This window comes from Homo sapiens, chromosome 2 (genome assembly GCF_000001405.40).
Source record: "Homo sapiens chromosome 2, GRCh38.p14 Primary Assembly".
NCBI classification, from domain to species: domain Eukaryota; kingdom Metazoa; phylum Chordata; class Mammalia; order Primates; family Hominidae; genus Homo; species Homo sapiens.
Window position 1 is genome coordinate 237,214,583 of NC_000002.12, and position 24,466 is coordinate 237,239,048.

Sequence of the window (24,466 nt, forward strand, 5' to 3'; positions counted from 1 at the left end):
CCCATGATTTAGATGAGGGCTTAGAGAAAGATATGAAAAACACAGACCAAATTTTCTGACTATAAAGCAATAAAATCAATGTCGTAATGTAAGTAGAAAAAGAAAGAAAGCCCTGTTACATGGAAAAAAAAATAAAATTATCCTAAACAACTGTTGCTAAAAGTAAAAAAATAAAATAAATTAAGCATTAAACTCAAGATTTAGCAAAATGATAATTAAATTACCACCCCAAAGCTGATTAAATTAGTAATGGCAAAAAGACATGATGAATAACATGAAAAAGAAAATAATTTCTTAAATGAGATATAAAACACGAACCATTAGGGAAAAACATGAAAAATTAGACTTCGTGAAAATGCAAAACATTGTATAACAATAGTACATATGCTATTGGTACAACATTGTACCAAAACGAAGAGAAAAGGCAAGTTACAGATTGGAAAAAGGTATTTGTAGTGTAAACAACTGACAAAAGATTGATATGCAAAAATGTATAAAAATTCTTACAAATCAACCAGAAAAAGTTAAGCAATCCAAAATGACCTCAGGAGGTGAGTAGGTGATTCATGAGAAAAGAAAATTTGGATTAACTTCCTACTAATTGAGGAAATGCTAATGACATCAATAAGACACAATTGCACCCCATCAGATGGCTAAAACTAATAGTCCTGAACAAGGTTTTGTGATGTGTGTGGGAGTAGAACTTAGGCACAGTCTTGCACCAAATGACACAATTTTGCTCAACAACAGGCCACATATACAATGGCGGTCTTATAGGATTATAATGGAGCTCAAAAATCCTACAGCCTAGTATTTACTATACTACATGTTTTATTGTTGTTTTAGAGTGTTCTTTTTCTACTTATAAAAAAAAGTTACTGTAAAACAGCCTCAACGGGCCCTTCAGGAGGTATCCAGAAGAAGGCATTGTCATCATAGGAGGTGACAGCTCCATGTGTGTTATTGCCCTGAAGACCTTCCAATGGAACAAGAGGTGGAGGTGGAAGACAGTGATATGGATGACCCTGACCCTGTGTAAGCCTAGGCTAATATGTGTGTTTTTGGCTTCATTTTTGACAAAAAACAGTTTTAAAAGTAAAAATAAAATAAAAATATTTAAATAGAAAAAAAGTTATAGAATAGGAGCATAAAGAAAAAATATTTTTACATGGCTATACAATGTGTTTATGTTTTAAACTAGGTGTTATTAGAAAAGAGCCAAAAATCTTAAAACAAAGTTAAAAAGTTTGTGAATGCCAGGTGTGGTGGCTCACGCATGTAATCCCAGAACTTTGGGAGGCCAAAGTGGTCAGATCACGAGGTCAGGAGTTCGAGACCAGCCTGGCCAACATGGTAAAACCCCATCTCTACTAAAAATATAAAACTTAGCTGGGTGTGGTGGCAGACGCTTATAATCCCAGCTACTCGTGAGGCTGAGACAAGAGAATCACTTGAACCTGGGAGACGGATGTTGCAGTGAGCCTAGATTGTCCCACTCTAACCTGGGTAACAGAGCAAGACTCCATCTCAAAAACAAAAACAAAAACAAAAAACAAAAAAGTTTATGAAGCCAAAAGTTACAGAAAGCTGAGGTTAATTTATTATTGAAGAAAGAAAAAAATTTTAATAAACTGAGTGTAGCCTAAGGATACAGTGCCTATAAAGTCTACCGTAGTGTAGATACAGTTGTGTCCTAGGACTCACTGACTCACCCAGAGCAACCTCCAGTCCTACAAGCTCCATTCATGGTAAGTGCCCTATACAGGTGTACCATTTTTTATCTTTTATACTATATTTTTACTGTACATTTTCTACATTTAGTTATGTTTAGATACACATATACTCATCATTGTATCACAGTTGCCTGCAGTGTTCAGCATGCTAACATGCCATGCACTTTTGTAGCCTAGGAGCAAGAGGCTATACCATAGAGCCGAGGTGTGTAATAGACTGTACCTTCTAGGTTTGTGTAAGTACACTCTATAATGTTCACACAATGACAAAATCGCCTAACAACACATTTTGCAGAACATATTCTCATCATTGAGTGAGGCATGACTGTATATTGTTGGCTGAAGTGTAGATTGATAAAACCTTTTCGTGTGCGATTTGGCAAAGCAGGTCAGCGTTGAAGATGGGCAGACCTTATGACTTGGCAATTCTACTTCTGGTCCATCTGGGACACTATACTTAGGAAATCTTGAAAGTATTGAAAGAAAGAAATAGCCCAACCTAGAACTTTATGCCCAGCAAAATTATCCTTCAAAAATTAAGGAGAAATAAAGACTTTCTCAGACAAACAAAAACTGAGAAAATTAATGGCCTGCAGACCTGCCCTGCAGGAAATATTAAACCTTGATCAGAAAGTTGGAACTATATAAGGAAGGGAAGAGTGCTGGAGAAAAAAATAAATGAATCTAAAATAAAATCTTGAGCTTTCCTATTCTTATTCTTAATTGATTAAAAAGATAATTATTTGTTTAAAGTTATAATTATAGCAATGTATCTGGTTTTTATAATGTGGGGGTATTAGTCTGTTCTCATGCTGCTAATAAACACATACCCGAGACTGGGTAATTTATAAAGGAAAGACGTTTAATTGACTCACAGTTCCACATGGCTGGGAAGGCCTTGCAATCATGGCAGAAGGTGAAGGAGGAACAAAGTCATGTTTTACATGGTGGCAGGCAAGAGAGCTTGCACAGGGGAACTTCCCTTTATAAAACCATCAGATCTCGTGAGACTTATTCACTATCATGAGAACAGCACAGGAAAGACCCACCCCCATTATTCAATTACCTCCCACCAGGTCCCTCCCACGACATGTGGGGATTATTACAATTCAAGGTGAGATTTGGGTCGGGGCACAGCCAAACCATGTCAGTGGGTAAGAGAAAGGAATGACAACAATAGTCAAAATTGGGGATGCTTGGCTACAAGTTACCTGCATTCACATGAAGTGGTACGGTGTTACTTAAAGGTGGCCGTGGATTATTTAAATATACATATATAGTAAACCCAAGAGTAACTACTAAAAAGTTGTAAAAAGAAGTATAAATGATAAATCACAAGAGGAGATAAAATGCAATCATATGAAATGCTCAATTAAAACCTGAGAGTGGAAGACTTTTCTCCCTTCATGCTTCTCTCTGTTCCTCTAAGTCCAACTAAATCCCTGGGTGTTGGATGTAAACTGAATATAAGAAGACTTCAAACAGTGGAGAGAAGACTGCAGATTGGCCGGGGACTTTAGAGCTGTATGGCACTGAGTTCCCTGGGTTTTCTTTTTGCTTCACATATCCAACTTGGTGCCGGAGAAGCTGCAAGCTAAAAACTCTAATGGGCACAGGCAGAAAGAGCCTTCCAAACAGCCTGCTTTCTCTAGCCCAAGGAAAGGGGGAAAAACTGAAAGCTTGTAGTAAATAGCTGCTCTTCAGCAGCCAAATATCAGGAACAAAGACCTGTGGTCCTTCTCCCAATGGCGCCAGCAAAATCTGAGTCAGGAACCTAGGCTTCTACCCTGGCTTGCCAGGCTGTAAGGAGGCACCTTGGTCTCCCATGCAGTGGTGGCAGAGAAGGCCCAATGGGGAACTGGGTTTCCTGCCACCACCAGCAATAACGCAGTGCCCATTCCCTCCCCTGCTGGAGTGGTGTCCAGGGAGGCCTGGTGGATAGGCAGAGCTTTCAACCCCACCCAGAAGTAATGGGGCCACCCCTCACGTCCCTTTGTCAGTGGAGGCCACACGCACTCAAGCAGTAACCAGCAGAAGTCAGCATTCTGACTTCTCCCAGTCAGGGAGGTTTTAGTGGAGATACAACAGGAAGCTAGAACTCCCACCTCCGCCTATCAGAAAAGACAACCCCCACCCTCAGGAATGAAAGGAGGCTCAGTGGGGAACCTGTCCTTCTACCCCCCACCTGGCAGGAATGAGGCGCCCCCACCCACTGCCTCTGCCAGAGCAGTGTCAGAGGAACTTGCTCAAACAGAAAATTTAAATAAGATTCACCGTCTCAAAGAAAATGCCCAAAATGTTTAGGTTTCAATCAAAAATTTCTCAGAGAACCGGGAAGATCTTAAACCGATTAAAAAACAACAATAGGTTCCAACACCAAAATAGCAGAGACTAGAATTATCTGACAAAGATTTTAAAGCAGCCATCAGTAAAATGTCTCAAAGAGAGATTACAAACATATGTGAAACAAATGTGAAACTCCAAGGTCTCACCAAAGAAACTCAAAGTCTCAGCAAAGAAATAGAGATGTAAAACTGGTCCACGTGGACATGCTACATGTTAAGCCAGCATTCTATTTCTGGAATAAATCCCACTTGGTCATGGTGTAGAACACTTCCTATATGTGTTGGCTTTAGGTTTTAAGACATTAGCATCAATATTTATAAGGAATATTCATCTGTAGTTTTCTCTTCTTGTGATATTTGCATCTGGTTTCAATTAACACAGACTTTATAGAAGGAATTGGGTAATGACCCATTACATTCTATTTTTTTGGAAGAGTTTGTGAAGAATTGGTGTTAATTCTTTAAACGTTTGAGAGGATTCACCAGTGAGGCCACCTAGTCTTGGGACATTCTTTGTGGGAAAATTTTGGATTGCCAATTCAATCTCTTTACTTGTTATAGATACATTCAGGTTTTTAAAATTTCTTCTCCATTTAGTTTTGGCAGTTTGTATCTTTTGAGGAATCGGTTCATTTCATCTAGGTCATTTAATGTGTTGGCATACTGTTTTGTATAGGATTCCCTTATATACTTTTTAAATTTCTCTGAGGTCAGTAGTAATGTTCCCCACTTCAGCATTGCTTTTAGTAATTTGAGTCCTCTGTCTCTCGTTTTTGGATGATAGGGGGTCAGTCTAGCTAAACTAGATTTCTCTTAGATGCCCTTTAAGAGATTGCAAAAGTCTCCTTCTGTTGCTCACTTCCTGAGTTTTTATCATAAGTGAGTGCTGAATTTTATTAAAAGTTTTCCCAGGCCGGGCGCGGTGGCTCACGCCTGTAATCCCAGCACTTTGGGAGGCCGAGGCAGGAGGATCACGAGGTCAGGAGATCAAGACCATCCTGGCTAACGCGGTGAAACCCCGTCTCTACTAAAAATACAAAAAATTAGCGGGGCGTGGTGGCGGGCGCCTGTAGTCCCAGCTAGTCGGGAGGCTGAGGCAGGAGAATGGCGTGAACCCGGGAGGCGGAGCTTGCAGTGAGCCGAGATCGCGCCACTGCACTCCAGCCCGGGCGGCAGAGCAAGACTCCATCTCAAAAAAAAAAAAAAAAAAAAAGTTTAAAAAATTTTCCCTGAATCTATTGAAATAATTCACTCCTCACTCACTTACCACAAGTAAGAAGACAATAGACATGGTAGTATGAATACCATTGAAAAATATGTGTGTAAGTGCATTCAATGACTGCTAAATATTGTAGTGGTGTTTGACTTTTTAACTCGTGGGCATGTACCATTTTAATTTTTTAAATTCCGTAAAGTGTAAAATAAAATGTGTCCCTTGTTTTTGCAGAGAAGTCTCTATTATGAATATTAGCAATCTCTAAATATATCCACAAATTCCAAGTAATGCAATAAAAATTCCAGTAGGAATTTAGCATGTTAGAATGACAAGAAGAAGAGACATAGAAGAGTTAAGAAAATTCTCGGGTGAGGAAAAAGGAGACTCGTTTAAATCAGATTTATCCTATCAAATACTCAAGTGCATTATCAAATGATAGTAAAGGAGTATAAAACTGACCCTGAAATAGATGGGCAGATCAATGTAATAGAATGAGAGTCCAGAAATAGAAATATGTATGTCACGATGTACTTTATGATAAAAAGTATCTTTTCAAATGAGGAGAAAAAAATTATTCAATAAATATTTGGGGGACTTTTGTAAAAAAAAATATAAAGCCAGATCTTTGGCTCACTCTTAGAATCAAAATTAATTCCAGATGGGTAAAATATTTAAAAGCAAAATACAAAATCATAAAATTATGAGGAATCATTTCTGGTGAAACCTTTAATAATACTGAAGTAGAGTGATTTCAAAACCAAAAAGTATAAAGGAAAAAAAGTGGATTCAAATACATATTATTTAGCAAAAAAGAACTTTTTTTAAACTACACTTTCACACTTTAAATCAACAGCAATATACTAACAGAAAATTCTTTACAGTATATAATAAATAAATGATTAATTTCCTTAATATACAAAGAATTTTTAAATTAAAAAAAGATGAATATACCAATTAAAAAATAGGTAAAGGGCATGAACAAACACTTGAAGAGGTTTAACCTCGTGCTTTAGCAAAGAGCTACAAATAAAATCAATAAGAAGATAGATGAAGCTACTATCAACTTAGCAACCATTTAAAAGATAGTCAAGAGACATTAAAACCCTTTTTAATAAATATTTCCCCTAAATTTCTATTGGGTTAAATTTTTCATTTAGGCATTACTTAAATCTTTCCCTTTTGTAAATTTTTTTTTTGCTTTTATGAATAATGTCCTTTCCCATTCTGAAATTAACATTTACTTATAATTCTTATGGTTTCTTAGGGATTTATTTTCTTTCTTTGTTTAACATGTAGCTCTTTAACACATTTAGAGTTGACTTTAGTGTTTGATATAAGGCGAGGACCGAATTAACTCATTTCCAAATACTTCATTAGTTGCCAGCACTATACATGGTGCAATCCTTCCTGCTCAAATCCGTAACAAAGTGGGTTTTATCATCTAGTCTAGATGAGTCTTTGCATGTTGGCCTATCTTCACCTGTACTTATATCTACATCTGATTCTGTCCACCAAACCTCTCCTGTTATAGAGGAATAAAACAAAGACCAGAGAAGATAACTGCTTTGTCCCAGGTCACACAGCTGGTAGCGGGGCAGAACCTGGGTGGGGGCCCTCGCCCACCCCTGTTCCTCCAGCACAGGCTCTCCCTAAGCTACATGTCCTCTCAACCAGGCTTCCTAGTACATGGGGAATAACGACCCTACCCTTCCCCACCTGATCCACCCAAGCTCTGCTCAGAAGGGGAAGTGGCGACCCTCCCGCAGGCGGTGGCACTCTCTCTCTCTCGTTGTGTCTGAAGGCTGTTCCACTTCCCAGGCTCTGTTCTGTGAGTCTCTGTGTTCTGTGAGGCTCCAAATGTGCTGCCCTACACAACACACAGCCAGAGAGTGGCTGGGGAGACGGTCTACCTGGCTGGAGAACCTGGACCCACACCCTTCTCTGCACATAAGGGCCAGTGCCCCTGACTCTAGGAGCCTAATAGGAACATAGGTCATTGCTGGAGTCAGACTGTCTGGGTTCAAATCTCTCTCTGCCACTTCTGGCTTGAATAACCTCTTCTGTGCCTCCGGTTCTCATCTCAAAAAGGAGGATAACAAGCAGACTTAACTCATAGGAGCTTGTAGAGGTGAACTCAGTTAACCTGAGTAACTTGCTTAGCACAGTGATTGCAAATGTTAGCTGTGGAGATCAATTTTACTAATTTTATTCAGTTGAAGGGTTGGTATCTAGTGAAATTTATATTGTTTCTTTTAAAAGATCATGTTTCTTTTTTCTCTTTAGTATTGAAATTGGCATCTTTGGGAGCTCGCTGTCATCTCTTCACAAAACATCCCCACGGAAAGCCAAACTTTCCCTTAGCAAGCGTGGCAACGTCCCAGAGTGCAGCCTGGTGAGTTTGGAATGCAGGTGGTTTGCGGACCCAAGGGAGAAAAAGTGACTGCAGATGGTGCATTTCCTGTTTATAACGTGCTTGGGGAAATGACCATTTTGCTCATGAAGAAAAAAGATTTTTTATCTTATTGGGTAAAGAAAAATAATAGACCACAGAGACAGAATATTACCACAGCATTTTTGTCTGATGAGAAACTGATTGGCTTGACTACATATTGATTAAACATTCTACATGCCGTTACTCTCTAGACAATAAGAATCTTGGCATACGATAACTTTGAAAGCAAAGTTCATTTACGGTCAGGTTGGTTTCACCAAAACAATCGTATTCCAATATTACGGTTCTCAAAACTGAAATACCTGAAAACCTCTTTGGGGACCTGGATTTTCAGTGGAAAACAAACTGCTCAGACAAAGCTGCTGGGGCCCCCATTTCCCACTGCTTCCTCAGTTTCCCCAAAACTAAACAATCTGGGAGACAGTGTGAAGTTAGTGCATGTTTAATTTGGCAACTCTCTTTCCAGATGTGTATGGTCCAGATGTGTTGAGTCTGCTCCCAAGTTATCAATCAAAAAGCAAACTGACCCGGGGTGGATGGCTGCATTTGTACAGCAGCTGCTGTCACCAGCGCACCCCCAAGCAATGTTTTCTTAAACTTAGATGTCCAGGCAGAAAAATCCCTTTGCCTTCTAGTGGCCCCTGCCTAACATTTCCCTCCATACCCTTCTAGATTACCTTACACGGAGAGAATTAAGTTAGGGGATTTGTCTGCTGTCAGTCCCCTTTTTCTTCTGGTTCTATTTTTAGCCTTAATGGTCTTTTCTAATAGGTCCAAACTGTGCAACAATACGTAAAACTAATTGTATTTTACATAAAAATCCATGATCACATCTAGCCAGCCAAAATGGATCAGAGAAGCTCCATACAGTCGTGTGGATTTTTTTATTTGACTAGAAGCCATCCATGTGCCTACCTGATGCATGTGCACACATGCATCCACGCACCTTGCATGCACACACACATGCACATGCACTCTTCCAGGATGGCTTTGAAGTGGCGAGGGTAGAAAGGAACTCTTGGTCCCAAGGGCTGGCCTCATGAAGGAGCTCCAAGATGCAACTCATTCTTGAATTGCAGCCAGGACCTCAACTATTCCCTGCAGGAATTCCCCTAAGAAGAATGTGTTGGTCTTATGTGTCACGGGTTGCCCCAAGTCATCCTGGCTTCTGGGGTTGTGGGCTTTTGTTCAGAGAAAACAGGGACTGCTGAAACCTTGTAGTGGATACTCTCTGTTCCCTGCCCAGATCTCTGGGCTGGTGCCCCATCCTCTAGGTCTGTGAGCATTGGCTGCCGAGGGCTCACAGCTGCCCATTTCCAGAGAAGTTCCCTTGGGACAGTAACAGCTTCTGGGCCCAGAAGATTACTCTCCCACACACAAGGCAGCCAAGGGCCAAGCCTGACTAGGACAAAAGCCCAGGCCCCCTCCCTCACAGTGGGACCACTCCGTGGTGCAATTCACACTCCCCAACTTCCCCGGGGATCAGGCAGAAACTGGACCCCAGCCAAGAACCTGCCTGGCTCCACCCTTCTCCAGGCTTCTTGGCTTCCTTCACTCCCTTTCTGCCCACAGGTCCTACAATAGATCATTTCCACAAGACCCCCGTCTCAGACTCTGCCTAAGAAATCCCTCATCTTAATCACTGAGCCCATCTGGCGTCTTTCTTTTATAAAAAATTTGTATTTTTATTTTAAGTTCCTGGGTACATGTGCAGGATGTGCAGGTTTGTTACATAGGTAAACGTGTGCCAAGGTGGTTTGCTGCACCTATTAACCCATCACCTAGGTATTAAGCCCAGCATGCATTAGCTATTTTTCCTAATGCTCTGCCTCCCCGCCACCCACCCACCAGCAGGCCCTACTGTGTTGTTCCCCTCCCTGTGTCCATGTGTTCTCATTGCTCAGCTCCCACTTATCTAGAACCAGAAATACCATTTGACCCAGCAATCCCATTACTGGGTATATACCCAAAGGAAAATAAATCACTGGACTACAAAGGTACATGCATGCGTATGTTCATGTTCATGGCATCTTTCATTTAGGCATCAAACTCCCCTCAGTCAGGAAGGACGGTGACAGTCTCCACACCCTCCAGGCTATTGGGACAGATTCTGTTTTTTTCACCCTGCCCTGCAACAAAATTATTTTCTGCTTTCACCAAACCCAGGCAAACAGACTCCACTAGACCTGGAGACTAGGAATAGAAAATGTACATAAATTGTGGTTTTAAAAATTCACTTAGATATGAATAATATGATGATAATTATTAGGAAAACATGGAACATTAAGACGTTGAAAATAAGTTCTACAAGTAAATGTGCCAGTCAACAAAGATTCATTCAGGGTTCCAGGGTGTCACTTGAGTTAGTGACCATTGTATAAAGTTCTAATCTGTGCTTGAAAGTTCGAATTTTCATGGTCAATTGTTTTCCTTGAAGTGACAGGCCCACACCATTAATTCTTTTAGCAACTCTCTGGCAAATACCTAAGTCCGAACAACCATAATTTGTCTTTCAGTTATTCTTTCAAGTAAAAATGGCGTTCTAGGCTTGGCACAGTGGCTTACGCATGTAATCCCAGCACTTTGGGAGGCAGAGACGGGCGATCATTTGAGGTCAGGAGTTCAAGACCAGCCTGGCCAACACAGCAAAAACCTATCTCTACTAAAAACACAAAAGGTAGCCAGGCATGGTGGCACACGCCTGTAATCCCAGCTACTCGGGAGGCTGAAGCAGGAGAATCACTTGAACCTGGGAGGCGGAAGTTGCAGTGAGTCAAGATCGCACCAATGCACAATGCACTCCAGCCTGGGCGACAGAGGGAGACTCCATCTAAAAAAAAAAAAAAAAAGAAAATTGGTGTTCTATGAAAAAAGAGACTAGCTCAGCTCACAACACAAACAATGCATGAGAGCTCTTCTTTGGGATAACCCTTGTAGTTGGTGTACGGAGGTCTCATATGTGTTCTCCCCATCTTGGCACTCAGAATATTCAAAGGACAGGTCCTCAAAAGTTAAAATTTAATAAAATCAATAATTTTATTGATTTTATAAATAAAATTTATTTATGAAATACTGCTGTGGCAATGGAGAGCTCAGGTGTCCTGGTAGAATTTGATGTCACTGCCTGGGTTCCTGCCAAGGTGCTGGAACCATGGTTTTTGCACCCTTAGGGAAAATGTCAACACAGTAGAGAAGGCAAAAATGTCTTAGTGGAGTTTTTAAATAAGTTTTTTATTCTGGAATATTTGTTATTTTTTAATGTATAATTGACAAAAATTATATAAGTAGATGTATAATGTGATGATTTGATATGTGTACACTTTGTGATACAATCAAGCTAATTGACACACACATCACCTCACGTAGCTACCATTTGTGCGTGCTTGCTGAGTACATTTAAGATCCACTTTTTAAATCACTTTTTAATTTTTTTATTTCAATAGGTTTTTGGAGAACAGGTGGTGTTTGGTTACATGGATAAGTTCTTTAGTGGTGATTTCTGAGATTTTGGTGCACCCATCACCCAAGCAATGTACACTGTAACCAATGTGTGGTCTTTTATCACTCGCCACCGCCCACCCTTTTCTTAACAAATTTCAAGTGTGCACTACAGTGGTATTAACTGCAGCCTCGATTTACAGAAACATTGCAAAGGTCATACAGAGTTTTCATGAACCCCACACTCTATTTCCCTGATGATTAATATCTTTTATTAGTATGGTACTTTGGTCACAACCATTAGCATTAGCTGAAATCCATGCTTTATTCAGATTTGCTGAGTTTCACCCAATGTCCTTTTTCTGTTTCAGGATCCCGTCAAGGATATCACATGATACTTCCTTGTCATGTTTCCTTAGGCTCATCTTGACTGTCCATTTCTCAGACCTTCCTTGATTTTGGTGACCTTGACAATGTTGAGGAACAGTGGTCAGGTATCTTGTAGAATGTTCTTTCATCGGGGCTTGTTGATGTTTTCTCTGAATTAGACTGGGTTTGTGGGTTTTGGGGAAGAAACACCACAGAAGAGAAGCACCATTCTAACTGCATCATATTAAGGGTAGATACTATCAACCTAACTTCTTTTTTTTTTTTGACATGGTGTTTTGCTCTTGTTGCCCTAGCTGGAGTGCAGTGGCACGATCTTGGCTCACTGCAACCTTCACCTCCTGGGTTCACGCGATGCTCCTGTCGCAGCCTCCCGAGTAGCCGGGATTATAGGTGTGCACCACCACACCCGGCTAATTTTTGTATGTTTATTAGAGACGGGGTTTCACCATGTTGACTAGGCTGGCCACAAACTCCTGACCTCAGGTGATCCACCTGCTCGGCCTCCCAAAGTGCTGGGATTATAGGCCTGAGCCACTGCGCCCAGCCTCAACCTGACTTGTTATTGTTGATGTTGACTTTGATCAACTGACAGGTTTGCCAGGTGATCAATGTGTTTGTCAGGTTTCTACAGTGCAAACTTACCTTCTCTCTTTTCCATGCTGCACCCTTTGAAAAGAAGTCACCATGTGCAGCCTACATTTAATGAGTGGAGAGTTATGCCCCGCCTCCTGGAGGATGAACTATCTACATAAATTATTTGAAATTCTTTTGCATGGAATATTTTCTTAATGTTATTGTGAAAATAATTTTGACCTTGCAGAACCATGAAAGGCTGTTCGGGAAAACCCCCAGAAGTCTGTAGACCATACTTAGAGAAACACCATTCCATGCAATGGAGGCAGGGGTGGATGTGTCTGGAACCTGGGCACTATACTTGCGTGTACCTTGATGCTTCCAGGATTCCCTAGAAATCACTGTGGAAGGATTATTGCAGCCACTATTGCTTGACAAGGGCTCAGACCCCTCAGGGTTACAAGTTTAAGTCCCTCAACCAGGCAAGCAACCCAGACCCAGCAAAGTGTGTTTGAAAGGTAGGAAAATGTAAATTGAGGAAAAGAAAAAGGAGATATGAATATCAGTTCGGTCTTACTCATCTGCAGTTTCAGTCACCATACATTATACCAGTAACCCTCTTGGGTTAAGTCAACAGAGATTGGGTATGGCCAGCATATTTGAGTGCACTATGTCTCAGATTGCACTAGTTCTCCCCCTCTCCAAGGAGGAGTGAGGGCATATTGTTCTCATAATCAATGAGATAACATTTTTAGAACTGGAACCAGATATAATATAGGGCATCAGATGATATGAGTGATCTAGATGGTGGACGCTCAGACACCACTTACACACCCATCTCCAATTCCAGAAACCAAGTGATGGCAGCTTTGTGTGGGGCTAATCAGCTTCATCCAAGTGCAGTCTTCATCTGAGTGCACCCTGACAGTGCCTTGTTCAGATCTGCTCACACGTCTCTTGGCTACCAGCCTGTGACTTCTGATAATGCCAGGGCATGGGATGCCACAGGAACCCCTTGGTGCCCACATATACATGACTCAGTTGTGCAGGATAGTTAATGCTCCACTTGAAAGCTCTTTAAACAATGGGAGAAAGGAACCAATAAATAAACGTTTCCTACCCCACGCCACAGCACTGACTCTGAGTCACATTTTCTGTGGTTTCTCGGAAGACATCGTGGTGTTAAACACACAATCTCCCATCTCAGCGGCCAGTGTAGCTTGCATTGACTCACTCTTCTTTGCTGAAATGCTTTCCCTGTTCCTTAGCTTTGCTCTTGGGATCATAATTCCCAATGAAAGCTTTGATCAACAGTGTTTCTCTCAGGTTTTCTTTTCGAAAGAACTTAGGCTAAGACAGATCAATACAGTGTTGTAACCAGCTAGTATGCATTCCTTCCAAAGATTTATTAAGTCCTCCTGTGTGCAAAGCATCATGGTAGGCTTGGAGACAACTGGGAAAATAATCAAATAAATCATTACAAGTATAAATGCTGTGAAGGAGAAGCACAGAGTGCTTTCAGATTGTAATATCCTAATCTAGGGAACTAAAAAGGGGCTTCTCCACTGAGACCTGAAGGATGAATAGGACCACTCCTGGGAAGAGGCAGGAGAAAAGGAGGGAGTATGGTGGGAAGTGAGACAGCAGATTCCAAGGGCTGGAGGCAAGTGAAGGTGGGTGTTTTTAAGAATTCAAAGTAGCCCAGCCCTAGTGGGCTAATGGCTAAGCGGAGAGAACAGAGAGATTGGAGAGGAGTATGAGGAAAAAGACTTTGGCGGAGTGAACAAGAACCCAACTGTGAAGAACCTTGAGCACTTATCCGGTGAGCCACAGGAAACCTCTGGAGGGCTCTGAGTAGAGTATTCCTCAAAGATGACTTTGTCTATGGATGCGAGGAGTATTAGGGGTCAGGATCATGCAGGAAGGCTAATTAGAGGGCCATTCAAGTGATCTAAGCCAAAGATGAAGATGGTACCAAATACAGTGGTGGCAGGTAAGAGGAAGAGAAGGTAAATGATTTGAGAGCTGCTAAAATAGGGATTTTTCAATTTTTTGGAAGTTAATATATGAGATGAATACAATTTGTCGGAAGTTTTACATATCATTTGTATAATTTGTGCAGAAACTTCACTTGCTATTTGTAATTTTCTTTAGGTGAGAAGGATTTTTAATACATTTTAAAAGCACTTAAAACAATTTTTAATACACTATATAATGTTAAAATTTTCATTTTCATCATGAAGGTAAAAATGTAAGAGCCTTTGAATCAGCAAGATCAGCATCTAATCAGATTTTGCCACTTACTAGCAAGGTGACCTTCGGCAAGTCACTGAATGTTGCCAGGTTGTATTTTTTGTTGTTGTTTTTTGAGACGGAGTCTCGCTCTGTTGCCCAGGCTGGAGTGCAATGGTGTGATCTCGGCTCACTGCAAGCTCCGCCTCCCGGGTTCACGCCATTCTCCTGCCTCAGCCTCCCGAGTAGCTGGGACTACAGGTGCCCGCCACCACACCCGGCTAATTTTTTTTTGTATTTTTTAGTAGAGACAGGGTTGCACCATGTAGGCTAGGATGGTCTCAATCTCCTGGCCTCGTGATCTGCCCACCTTGGCCTCCCAAAGTGCTGGGATTACTGGCGTGAGCCACGCCACCCGGCCTGTATTTTTTTTTAAATAAATCTGTAGATAGAGTTAATGTCACCTGTACTTTGTGTGTGTGGCAGTCGTTATTTTTTCAAGAATGGAATAAGATCACGGCTGTAAGGTGTCAGATGTAGTGCCTGGTATAAAAAGATAAGTGAAAAAAAAAAGACATCTATTATTTGTAGTGTTTACAGATCACTAATCCGGAACCTTGCTTAAATCACTATCCCAAAGCCATCCTTTCTTTAGACTATGGTTTAATCTTCTTTCTCATTTTTTGCATTTGTTGGTCCTACATGGCTCACCTGTTCTCATCTTGCCTTGCACTGGCAATTCCAAAATCAACTTCTCCACTCCCCACTTCCTCTGGTTATCATTCAGGTTCTCAATCCCTGCAGCCTCAACATGCCTGAAAAGCCTTCTCATTTCCTCTGTCTGCCACCCTATCTTGGCCTCTCCAGAATCACTGCCATTTTTGTGCCTCTGCTGCTGCAACCGCAGAGGCTAGGGCAGCCCACTGTGTTGCTGTCATTGGTGGGAGTTTGGGCACCCTGGGCTCACGTGAGTTGTTCTGGGCAACACGCACCACCCAGCAGCTTCAGGTGCTGGACTTCCCCAAGCTTGCTCTGCATGTCCTTCCAGAAGTGATTCCTTTTCATTGACTCCCTTGGCAGTAACTTTGCAAACACTTAAACTTTATTAACTTTATCCATTAGTTGAGTCATGCTTGAACATATGGTGGTACATGGCCAGTATAATTGAGATCTTGGATCCCATTTTTCAGAAAATAATATCCATGCCCACAGAAGATGCCAATGGAGGGTTGTCAGCCCTGGAGAGCCAGTGATGGTGACAAAGTAGAACTAGACATCCTGTGAGTTTCCATCTGGGAAAACTCTCAAGAATTCTTTAAAGTAGTGGCTTTTAAACTTTTAGTGAGAAAATATAATTTTTCAAATAAAATTTTATAAAGAAAATATATAAAACAGATAGAGGAGGAACAATTTTGATTAAGTGGCAGAGAGGCATGGTGGCCTAATCAGTCCCCAGCCCCTCTCCCCAAATAACCCCAGAGGTACCACCAAGGAATCAAATGGCCCAAGAACACCTAAAACCATCACTCTGGAGATACAGCAGTCTCCCTAAAAGGCATGGAAGCATGAGCCTAACTAGAGACAGGTGACAGCCAGGTGTAGTGCGGGATGGGACACAGGGAAGGTGGAGCTCAGCCTCATCAGCCGCTATCTCCAGGAGCATCTTCCAGGCAAAGAGCCTTTCTGTCCCGTCTCCCTTCCAAACTCATGCCACCCTGATGATTGTGATTCCAGAGGATCAGAGGCAGAGGAGTCCTCATCATTTTGGATTATTTGGTTACAAGCAACAGAAATAGACTCTGACTACCTCAACCCTAAAAGGAGTTTATTGGAAAAATAGAGGTGGCTCACAGAATTGGAAGATAGCTGAAAAATCAGGCTTAGAGGGGTAATCAGGGAAGTTCCAATGGCTTAGCTAGTAAGAGATAATCAGTAGAGTCACCTGGGGGTCCACTCAGAGATGAATCAGGTCCTATGTGGAAGAAGTGATGCCCCAAAATGAAACCCCAAAGGTTCTTAGGTGACCAAATACCAGCTGTCCACTATCGGATGCCCTAGTGTTTGGGGGAGGGAAGTTACTGGACTTATTGCTAACATGATCACAATAAAACCCCACCTTTTTGTCCCCAGTCCATTGCTGTCTGCCCCCACAATGTTGCAGTCTCATGGGTAACACTCAGGTCATTTAGCAGTCAGGTGTCACAAGCTGTCCTGGCCAAGACCCATGGAGCGTTCAGCTCTGACCTTGGCCATGTGACCTGCTCTTGGGTCTTCTACAGCCTTGACCCTTCTCTGCCCTTCACTCAGGTTCATGTTGTCATCTTCCTCTGGGTGCCCCAACCCCCACTCCATACCCCTGGCCCTTCACAGCTCTTCCCCTGCTCAGGCTGTCTCAGCTGGGAAGACACTTCTCTTGTCCGTAGTGCCACCACTCAGTACATAGATCAAGGCAGTGTTCAGCACAGTATAAATGGCTTTCAAATTCCAAAGAGAAAAACACAGCTTTTGCCTCTTTGATGGTGGTAGGGGGTGTGAGATACAACAATTTTTTACTGGGAAGAGATTACAGCATGCCCTAGACTAGTAACCCCCTTAAAATGTCATCAATGTGACAGACTCCTGACTCTTTGTAGGTTTTATCTTCCACTATCTGGTACGAATGTGTCTTATGAAGGCATCCAAAGTACTTGTCATTTTCTGCCCACCAATTGGAATTAACGTTATGACTCATATAAGGGACTAATGTATCATACTATGGGTTGCCAAGGCTGCCATTGCTGGCCCTGTTACAGGGTGGGTCTATCTGGGCTATCAACACATACGCTGGGAAAACTGGGAGCAAGAGCAGGGAGCAGATGTGGAGTCAGACACCAGAGCAGCACGGATGAGCAAATGACTGACACTCCAGCCAAGTGAGGGGCGCAGCCAGGAAGGCGGCCAGAGTCCTGACTCCAGGACAGCAAACACAATGGCAATGTCGGAACAAGATGATGAGACAGACCGCCGAGTGCTCCAGGCTTCAAATCCTAAAGAAGTCAACAGATGGAGGAAGGACCATGATGTGAGTCTTCCAGAATGCCTCCCTTGCCAGAGGGTTGTGGGCTTGGAGTCTTGTGACAGCCCAGATGCTTTCTGCCGGCCACAGGGTAACACCATTACAAACTGTCCCCGAGAGCTGGAGGACACCTCGCTCCCCTCTCCCTCTCCAGATGCTTTTATTTTAAGTTGCAAGGCTCAGTCCCAACTCTTCATCCAAGTCAAAGTTTTTTTTTCCAAGTGTCTACCAAGTTTCAATGCCACTGAAGCCTTTCATTCTATGTCTAAGAATAGCACTGGGTCAGAAAACATCTTCCTTCTCTCTCACTTGGGGTTACTGACCCAAATACTGGCACTTGAAAAACAGAAAAGGCCTAGTTGTCACCACATGGCTCAAGGGAGTCACAGCAAGGAAGGTTGAAAACAAGTGCCAAAGGAACAGACATGAGTCAGCTTTGGAACCTTCTAGAAAACTAAGCCAAGGAGTTTAGATTTTGTCTCTTTTTGCTGCTGTTGGAGGAGATGGAAAACCAACACATATTTGTTGAGTGAATGAATGATTGAAATGTTTTAGAACAATAATTTGGGTAATAATGGAGAGTGAGTTTGACAAGAGAAGGAAAGAGAGGATGCCCCAGGCAGGCACATTGCTGAAATAACTGTTACGCACTAAGAAAGATGGGCCAAGGAGGGAGGATCATGAGGTCAGGAGTTTGAGACCAGCCTGATCAACATGGTGAAACCCCGTCTCTACTAAAAATACAAAAAGTATCCAGGCATGATGGTGTGCACCTGTAATCCCAGTTACTCAGGAGGCTGAGGCAGGAGAAACACTTGAACCCGGGAGGCGGAGGTTTCAGTGAGCTGAGATCGTGCCACTGCACTCCAACCTGGGCAACAGAGTGAGATTCCATCTCAAAAAAAAAAGAAAAAAAGAAAGATGGGGCAGGTCTGGACTGGGACAAGCACAAGTGGAATTAAAGATGCGGAGGGGTTGTAGAGACCTTTAAGAGCTGGAATTGATTATTAGTTGTCAGGAAGAAGAAGAAGAAATCAAGGATCTCTCCACATCATGAGGCTAAGTGTGGCAACACCAACAGCAATGGAGACAAGTGTGTAAGGCAACACATTAGGTTTTGGCCATGAACATGTCTAAATGCATATGTCAGGTAGGCGGGGGGTGCATGCTGGAGATCAAGAGAGAGATTGAGTCTAGTGTGCCAGGAGTCACTTGATTGATACTAGTTGCGGGACTAATATGTTCACCAGAGGATGCATTGAATAGAAGTGAGCAAGAAACTCGAGAAAGCATTCCCAATGCCTGGTCCTATTAATCCATCTCCAGTGCAACCTTGGCTGCAACATTGCTACTGTCCTTTCTGGCAACATTACATGGGTGGCTTATTAACCTACCTTGGAAAAGAGGTTGTCTGAGCCTGGGTTTCTCTCCACCCCACTGCCATGAAAGCAGAGTTTTAGCCAAGGACTTGTGTGCAGGTATTTTATTTAAAATGTAATCCCAGAGAATAGAAGTAAGGGATCAGGGAGAGTAAAGGAAGGAGGAAAAGCCCATAATGGGCCAACAGTCCATTATGAAAAGTGCACTATAAAGTTGTTGTGGGCAACAGGGGCTCAGTCCCACCTGGACCTAGGAGGAGCCTGCAGAATGCCTCCAGAATTGGCCTCCTGAGGACCCAAAGGGAACACACTTACTATGAGCCCCCATACTACATTGGGTGCCCCCAGGGGCATTACCACCCCACACTTCTAGATGCCCCTATATGTTTGTCAAGTGGGGACCTGCCAGGTCCATAGCAACAGAGAGGCTCCGGGGCAGAGAGTGAAGGAGGCAAGCTCATGCCTGAGGCCGGAGATGTCAGCAAATGTGACTGGAAGCACCCACAGAGCTTCCCATCATCAGAACTACAATCTAAGGGAAGCCAGGAAGGTGCAGGGAGGGGGTCTGGAGGTATATGATACATGGACCCTTTGAACTCCTCAGATCCACTCCTGCCTCACATTACATCCAGTTCCACCAAGACAAAATATTCAAGGTGGTAGTTGAACCAAAGTCTTCCAAAGACTCAACACACTGGGTCAGTGGAAGAAGGCACAGTCCCCACTGCTGCAATGGACCCAGAGGCCTCTGTTGTTACTCTTCACCTCATTCCTTCACCATCCTTTCCAGATCCTCCCCTCTATTTCAGCTAACATTTCAGCTGGTCTAGGTTGCTTGCCTAGACCTAAAGCTTAGATGACCTAAACCTTCCCCCTTGATGGGTCTCAGTGTTTGGCTGTCTTTCTTTTTTCAGGCCATGATTGCTGCAATTGCCTGTTACTGTTTTAGAATCACTAAGAGATGTTCCAGGGAATTCTGTAGGCTCCACCCCAGGAACACCTCTAGATCCTGATGACAGACTCAGTTACCCCTCCTTACTTGACTGTGAATCTGCAGGCATAGCAAGACCGAAATGAACAAGCTGTACTCGTAGGCTCTGAATCAGTGAACACCATGTCCCTGGAGGAAGTTCTATCCCAGGAAATTGGGGCCTGTGCTTCAGCAGGGTCTGATGTTATAAGAATGAGAAGCACAAATTCCACAGTGGATTAATGGAAGCTACAGGACCAGAGGCAATTCTACTTCAACTCCTTGTTGCACAAGCCTAAATATTGTAGCAAATGGGGAACCCGTGCATCAGCTGTGAGCTTACTCCATATGTTGCATTCCGGGGTACAACACCCCTAAATAAGTAGAAGACTTGGTCCTTTAATAGGTGCATAATTCTGGTATGCCAGATGTTCCCTGGCGATGTGATATATGGTAAGACCAGCAGATTCGTAAAATAGGTCTTCTGGTCCAAAGCCATGGTTTGTAGAATTGCATGTCAGTAAACAGGCATTCAGTAAACTCTAGAATGGCAGTTGTCAGAGGACAAGTGACAGACCAAGTCTACTGCAGTTCACCCACTGGGATGATTCCCTTCAACCGTTATTCTTTAGGGGCACCCTGATTATGGCCACTGTGTGAAAACAGTCCATTCTTGGCTCCCCCAGCATTTCTAGTCAACCCATCTTAGAAGCAAGTCTGAGTTATTTTTTTTATGCATCAGGTGATTAGGACCTGATGAAATTAGGTCCCGGCACAGGGAGGTGGATGAAAGTGAACTGAGAAGCATCTGGACCACTTCTTCTTGCATTTTGGTGCCTTCTGGACCTGCTCCCATACGTACCCCTACCATCATCCAATGGATTGCTACAGCATTCACTGAATCTGATGACTTGGTGAGTCTGACACTTCCCACTTCATAATGGATGGTTTGTCCACAGTCACTTAATACCCCAAGACCAGATGCTCTGGCCCTACTAAGGCCCAGTAGCATGCCAGGAACTTCTCTTCAAATGGGGAATACCTGTGAGCCACAGAAGGCACAGCTTTGTTCCAGGACTCCAGTGGTCGACACTGCAACTCACCTATTGGGCTTGTAACAACCACAACTCCACATTCTTTTCCACCACAAGCTTTGGATCTGCAGCGTCAGATAGCCTGAAGTGTAGGGCAGCCTGACCTGTGAACATGCTGCAGAGCCGACTCTAGTTCTGGGCTTTACTCCAAACTGGCAGCCTTGCAGATCCCTCAGTACATAGGTCAAGGCAGTGTTCAGCACAGTGTAAATGGCTTTCAATTCCAAAGAGAACAACATAGCTTTTTGCCTCTTTGATGGTGGTAGGGGGTGTGAGATACAATAATTTTTTATTGGGAAGAGATCACAGCATGTCCTAGACTAGTGACCCCCTTAAAATGTCATCAATGTGAGAGACTCCTGACTCTTTGTAGGTTTTATCTTCCACTATCTGGTACAAATGTGTCTTACGAAGGCATCCAGAGTACTTGTCATTTTCTGCCCACCAACTGGAATTAACATTATGACTCATATAAGGGACTAGTGTATCATACTATGGGTTGCCAAGATGATCAAAGCCCCTGCTTACTTTTTTGTCACAGAAAGCAGGAGAGTTAATATAGCCCTGGGATAAAGGGCTAGCGTGGTGAATACATGACTCCATGCGTTTGTCAAAACCTATAAAAATGGACACCACAAAGTGAATTTTAATGTATATACATTTTTCTAAAATCAGCTACAATGTTCAGGGACCCAAAAATGGAATATACACAGAGAAAAAGTAAATGTACCTAACTTTATTATAAATAAATAGTATAACCACACTGGAAGGGATGAGGAAGAAAAGAACTAACCTAGATAATGCCAAAAAAATTTATTAAGACTAAGAACAAAATCTACACACAAATAGAGTACTCTAGTTAGTACATTTGTTTTTCACAAGAGAATGAGTCACTACTCTGAAACCATACTATGAGTAGGGAACAAATATGTAAATAAAGTACAGAAAAAGGGAGCCACATGTCTTACTGTCAGAGAAATTAGTTACGAATACAAAGAGGTGACAGCTAGAATCATCTTTCGGCTATTCTATTGGAATTGGAGGCATCAGTATGAACTCATGGATTTTTAATGGATAGATAAGTATAGAGGGACAATGGTGCTGATGAAGATAGATAGGCAAAATAAATATAGATGTGTGTTTATGCATGAATGTGTGCACAAACATACATTCCCTAACTTTGAACTGAATGGGAAGAGACTAAAAGCAGTGGCACCACAGGGCCAATGAGCATATCTAGCACCCAGATCTTGAGTTCTAAATACTGTTCTCCAACAAAATAATCCCGGGAAAGTGGTTGATTTCAGGACTGGTTGATGAGCCTAGAGCTGATAAGATGACAGATATAAGAAACGGATCAAAAAGGGACAGGGACAGGTCCATTGGGCACAGACGCCAACCTGAAAGAACCCCCAATGGACGAATATTTGAGCAAATATTAAGAGTAATAGCAATAATTATATCCATGGGTCTATGCTGATATAAATAATTTAATAAATAAATTAGTTAATTAATTGGGGACCACTCTTAAAGAATTCCAGCTGGTAAATGTATAAGGATTGAAGGAAATATATAATCACCATTAGAACAACATGATAGGATGTGTTGCAGGCAAGATCCACTGATGAATGCTGAAATTAGTATTTCAAAGTTTGAAGAGAAACAAGCTTTTTGCATTGTCTAAAAATATCAACCAGAGTTCCGAAGCTGAACTCTTATTGCATGAGGATCAAGCTGTGAACCTTGCAGGGTGTGGCCCACCATGGTGCTGAGTCCTTTGGAAGCCTAGGCAGGTCTTCCACTGCCCCGACACCAGCATCTATTCCTCCAAATATCAGGAAACAATTTTCCCCAGTTGCCACCACTATAGCCCTGGCAGGGAAAAGAACAAACCTAACTCCACTCTTATGGCTTTCCATGGAGATGCTAAGTTATAGGTCTTTGAGCAACCCAGATGAGCAGCATTTTTGGTTTCAAGGCTGGCAGAGAAGTAATGTGGCAGGACCCCCTTCCTGCAAGCCAGTAACCTCGTTCTTAGACTCCCCACAAGATTTCTGACTTAGTAGCTTGTTTGCCTGTGCCTTCTTCCCAGAGGTTGTCAAACACTTAAAAACTGCAGTGTGGGCCGGGCATGGTGGCTCATGCCTGTAATCCCAGCACTTTGGGAGATGGAGGCAGGCGGATCACGAGGTCAGGAGGTCGAGACCATCTTGGCTAACATGGTAAAACCCCGTCTCTACTAAAAACACAAAAAAATTAGCCGGGCATGGTGGTGGGCGCCTGTAGTCCCAGCTACTCAGGAGGCTGAGGCAGGAGGATGGCGTGAACCCAGGAGGCAGAGCTTGCAGTGAGCCAAGATTGCACCACTGCACTCCAGCCTGGGTGACAGAGCAAGACTCCATCTCAAAAAACAACAAAAACAACAACAAAAAAAAACTGCAGTGTGGATGATGGGCAGGGGAAGAAGTTGGCAGCCCATCACACCCATGGACTTGGCTCCTTCAGGCAGAAGCTAGAAGGAAATACCTTGCCTTCTGTGCTCAGAAGTTATCAGAAGGAAGCTGCAGGATGGATTGCCTGAGGAATTCCTACTCTAGGAGGAAGGGAAACATCCTTCTAGAAATTGAGCATCTGGCCTTTCAGGTCACCCACACCCCACCTGGTACATAAAATGGCTCTGCTGCCTGTGCCGGTGGCCCAGGACGTGCTCTGTGTGCCCCAGTTTCCCAGATTATAGGGCTTTAGTTCAGATAGGGAGCAGGATGTATGAGACCAGAGCAGCCCAGAATCTCAGAGGTTATAATAACCTCGATTTTTACAAAGATATCAACACCCCTAAGACCAGGAAGATGAACATAAACCTCTTCCATCCAAACACAAAATGATATAGCAAGGACTGGGTCGTCCCTTTCTGCCCAAAGCAGTGTAAGGGGAGTGGTCAGGGGATGTAGAATTAGAGGCACATGGTATGATATCACTGGAACTACCCAGAGAGCACATCTCACTGACCACACCCAGCCATCCCCATTCACATTTTCTCATGCCTTACCACCTCCTCCTAGCTGTATACCTCTAGTTTGATAACTATTTTTCCTCCTTCATTCAGCTCCTCCTCTGAATCATGGCTCCCACACTTCATTATTTACTCCAAGCATCAAGATAATAGATTGGGCTTCCCCACGCCAGCACCCTTTTTTATGTATGTGGGTCAACCCTGCATCTTGCTTAGCATTGTTCATAAGAAGAAAGGAATTAGATGACAAAAAATATGATATGCTGGATACTTAGGTCTGAGAAAAGTTCCCAGAGGAAGGAATAGCAACAGAGTCAAATATAGTGAAAAGTTCTGATAGGATGAAGATGGAGAAGTCCATTGAACTTGCCTCAGTGGATCTTCAGTAGTCTTGAAAGGAACAGTTTTGGTGGAGTGAATCTAGTTTTCAGTGTTTGAGAAATTAATGGCCAACAAGGTAATGAGGATATCAAGTGTAAAAAGTGACTGTCAAATAACTGAAGGTAAAATTGATGCTAAAAGAGGACCTCCATCCTACTCCCCTCCTCAAAAGATGGGCTGGTTAACTGCTGGTTC

General features: G+C 42.8%; 1 long non-coding RNA gene across 4 annotated transcripts in view, besides 1 other annotated feature; it reads left to right on the forward strand.

Moving 5' to 3' along the window:
* Positions 1–24,466, forward strand: part of LOC105373953 (uncharacterized) — a 44,371-nt gene that overhangs the window by 1,277 nt on the left and 18,628 nt on the right. Inside the window, exons 2-4 of one of the 4 annotated variants that reach the window (XR_924035.3) lie at positions 7,578–7,686; positions 11,556–11,678; positions 20,526–20,697. This is a non-coding gene — a long non-coding RNA (uncharacterized LOC105373953). Of the gene's footprint in view, positions 1–946; positions 1,036–7,577; positions 7,687–11,555; positions 11,679–12,250; positions 13,279–20,525; positions 20,698–24,466 lie in introns of those variants that run through there. The other 3 variants (XR_001739959.2, XR_001739960.2, XR_924034.3) reach the window with 3 other exon arrangements.
* Positions 3,594–4,124: an enhancer, noted in NCBI's record as "H3K27ac-H3K4me1 hESC enhancer chr2:238126819-238127349 (GRCh37/hg19 assembly coordinates)". NCBI's record gives its function as "activates a minimal SCP1, AML or CMV promoter by ChIP-STARR-seq in naive H9 embryonic stem cells {active_cell/tissue: H9 hESC(naive)}" and the evidence as "EXISTENCE:reporter gene assay evidence [ECO:0000049][PMID:30033119]".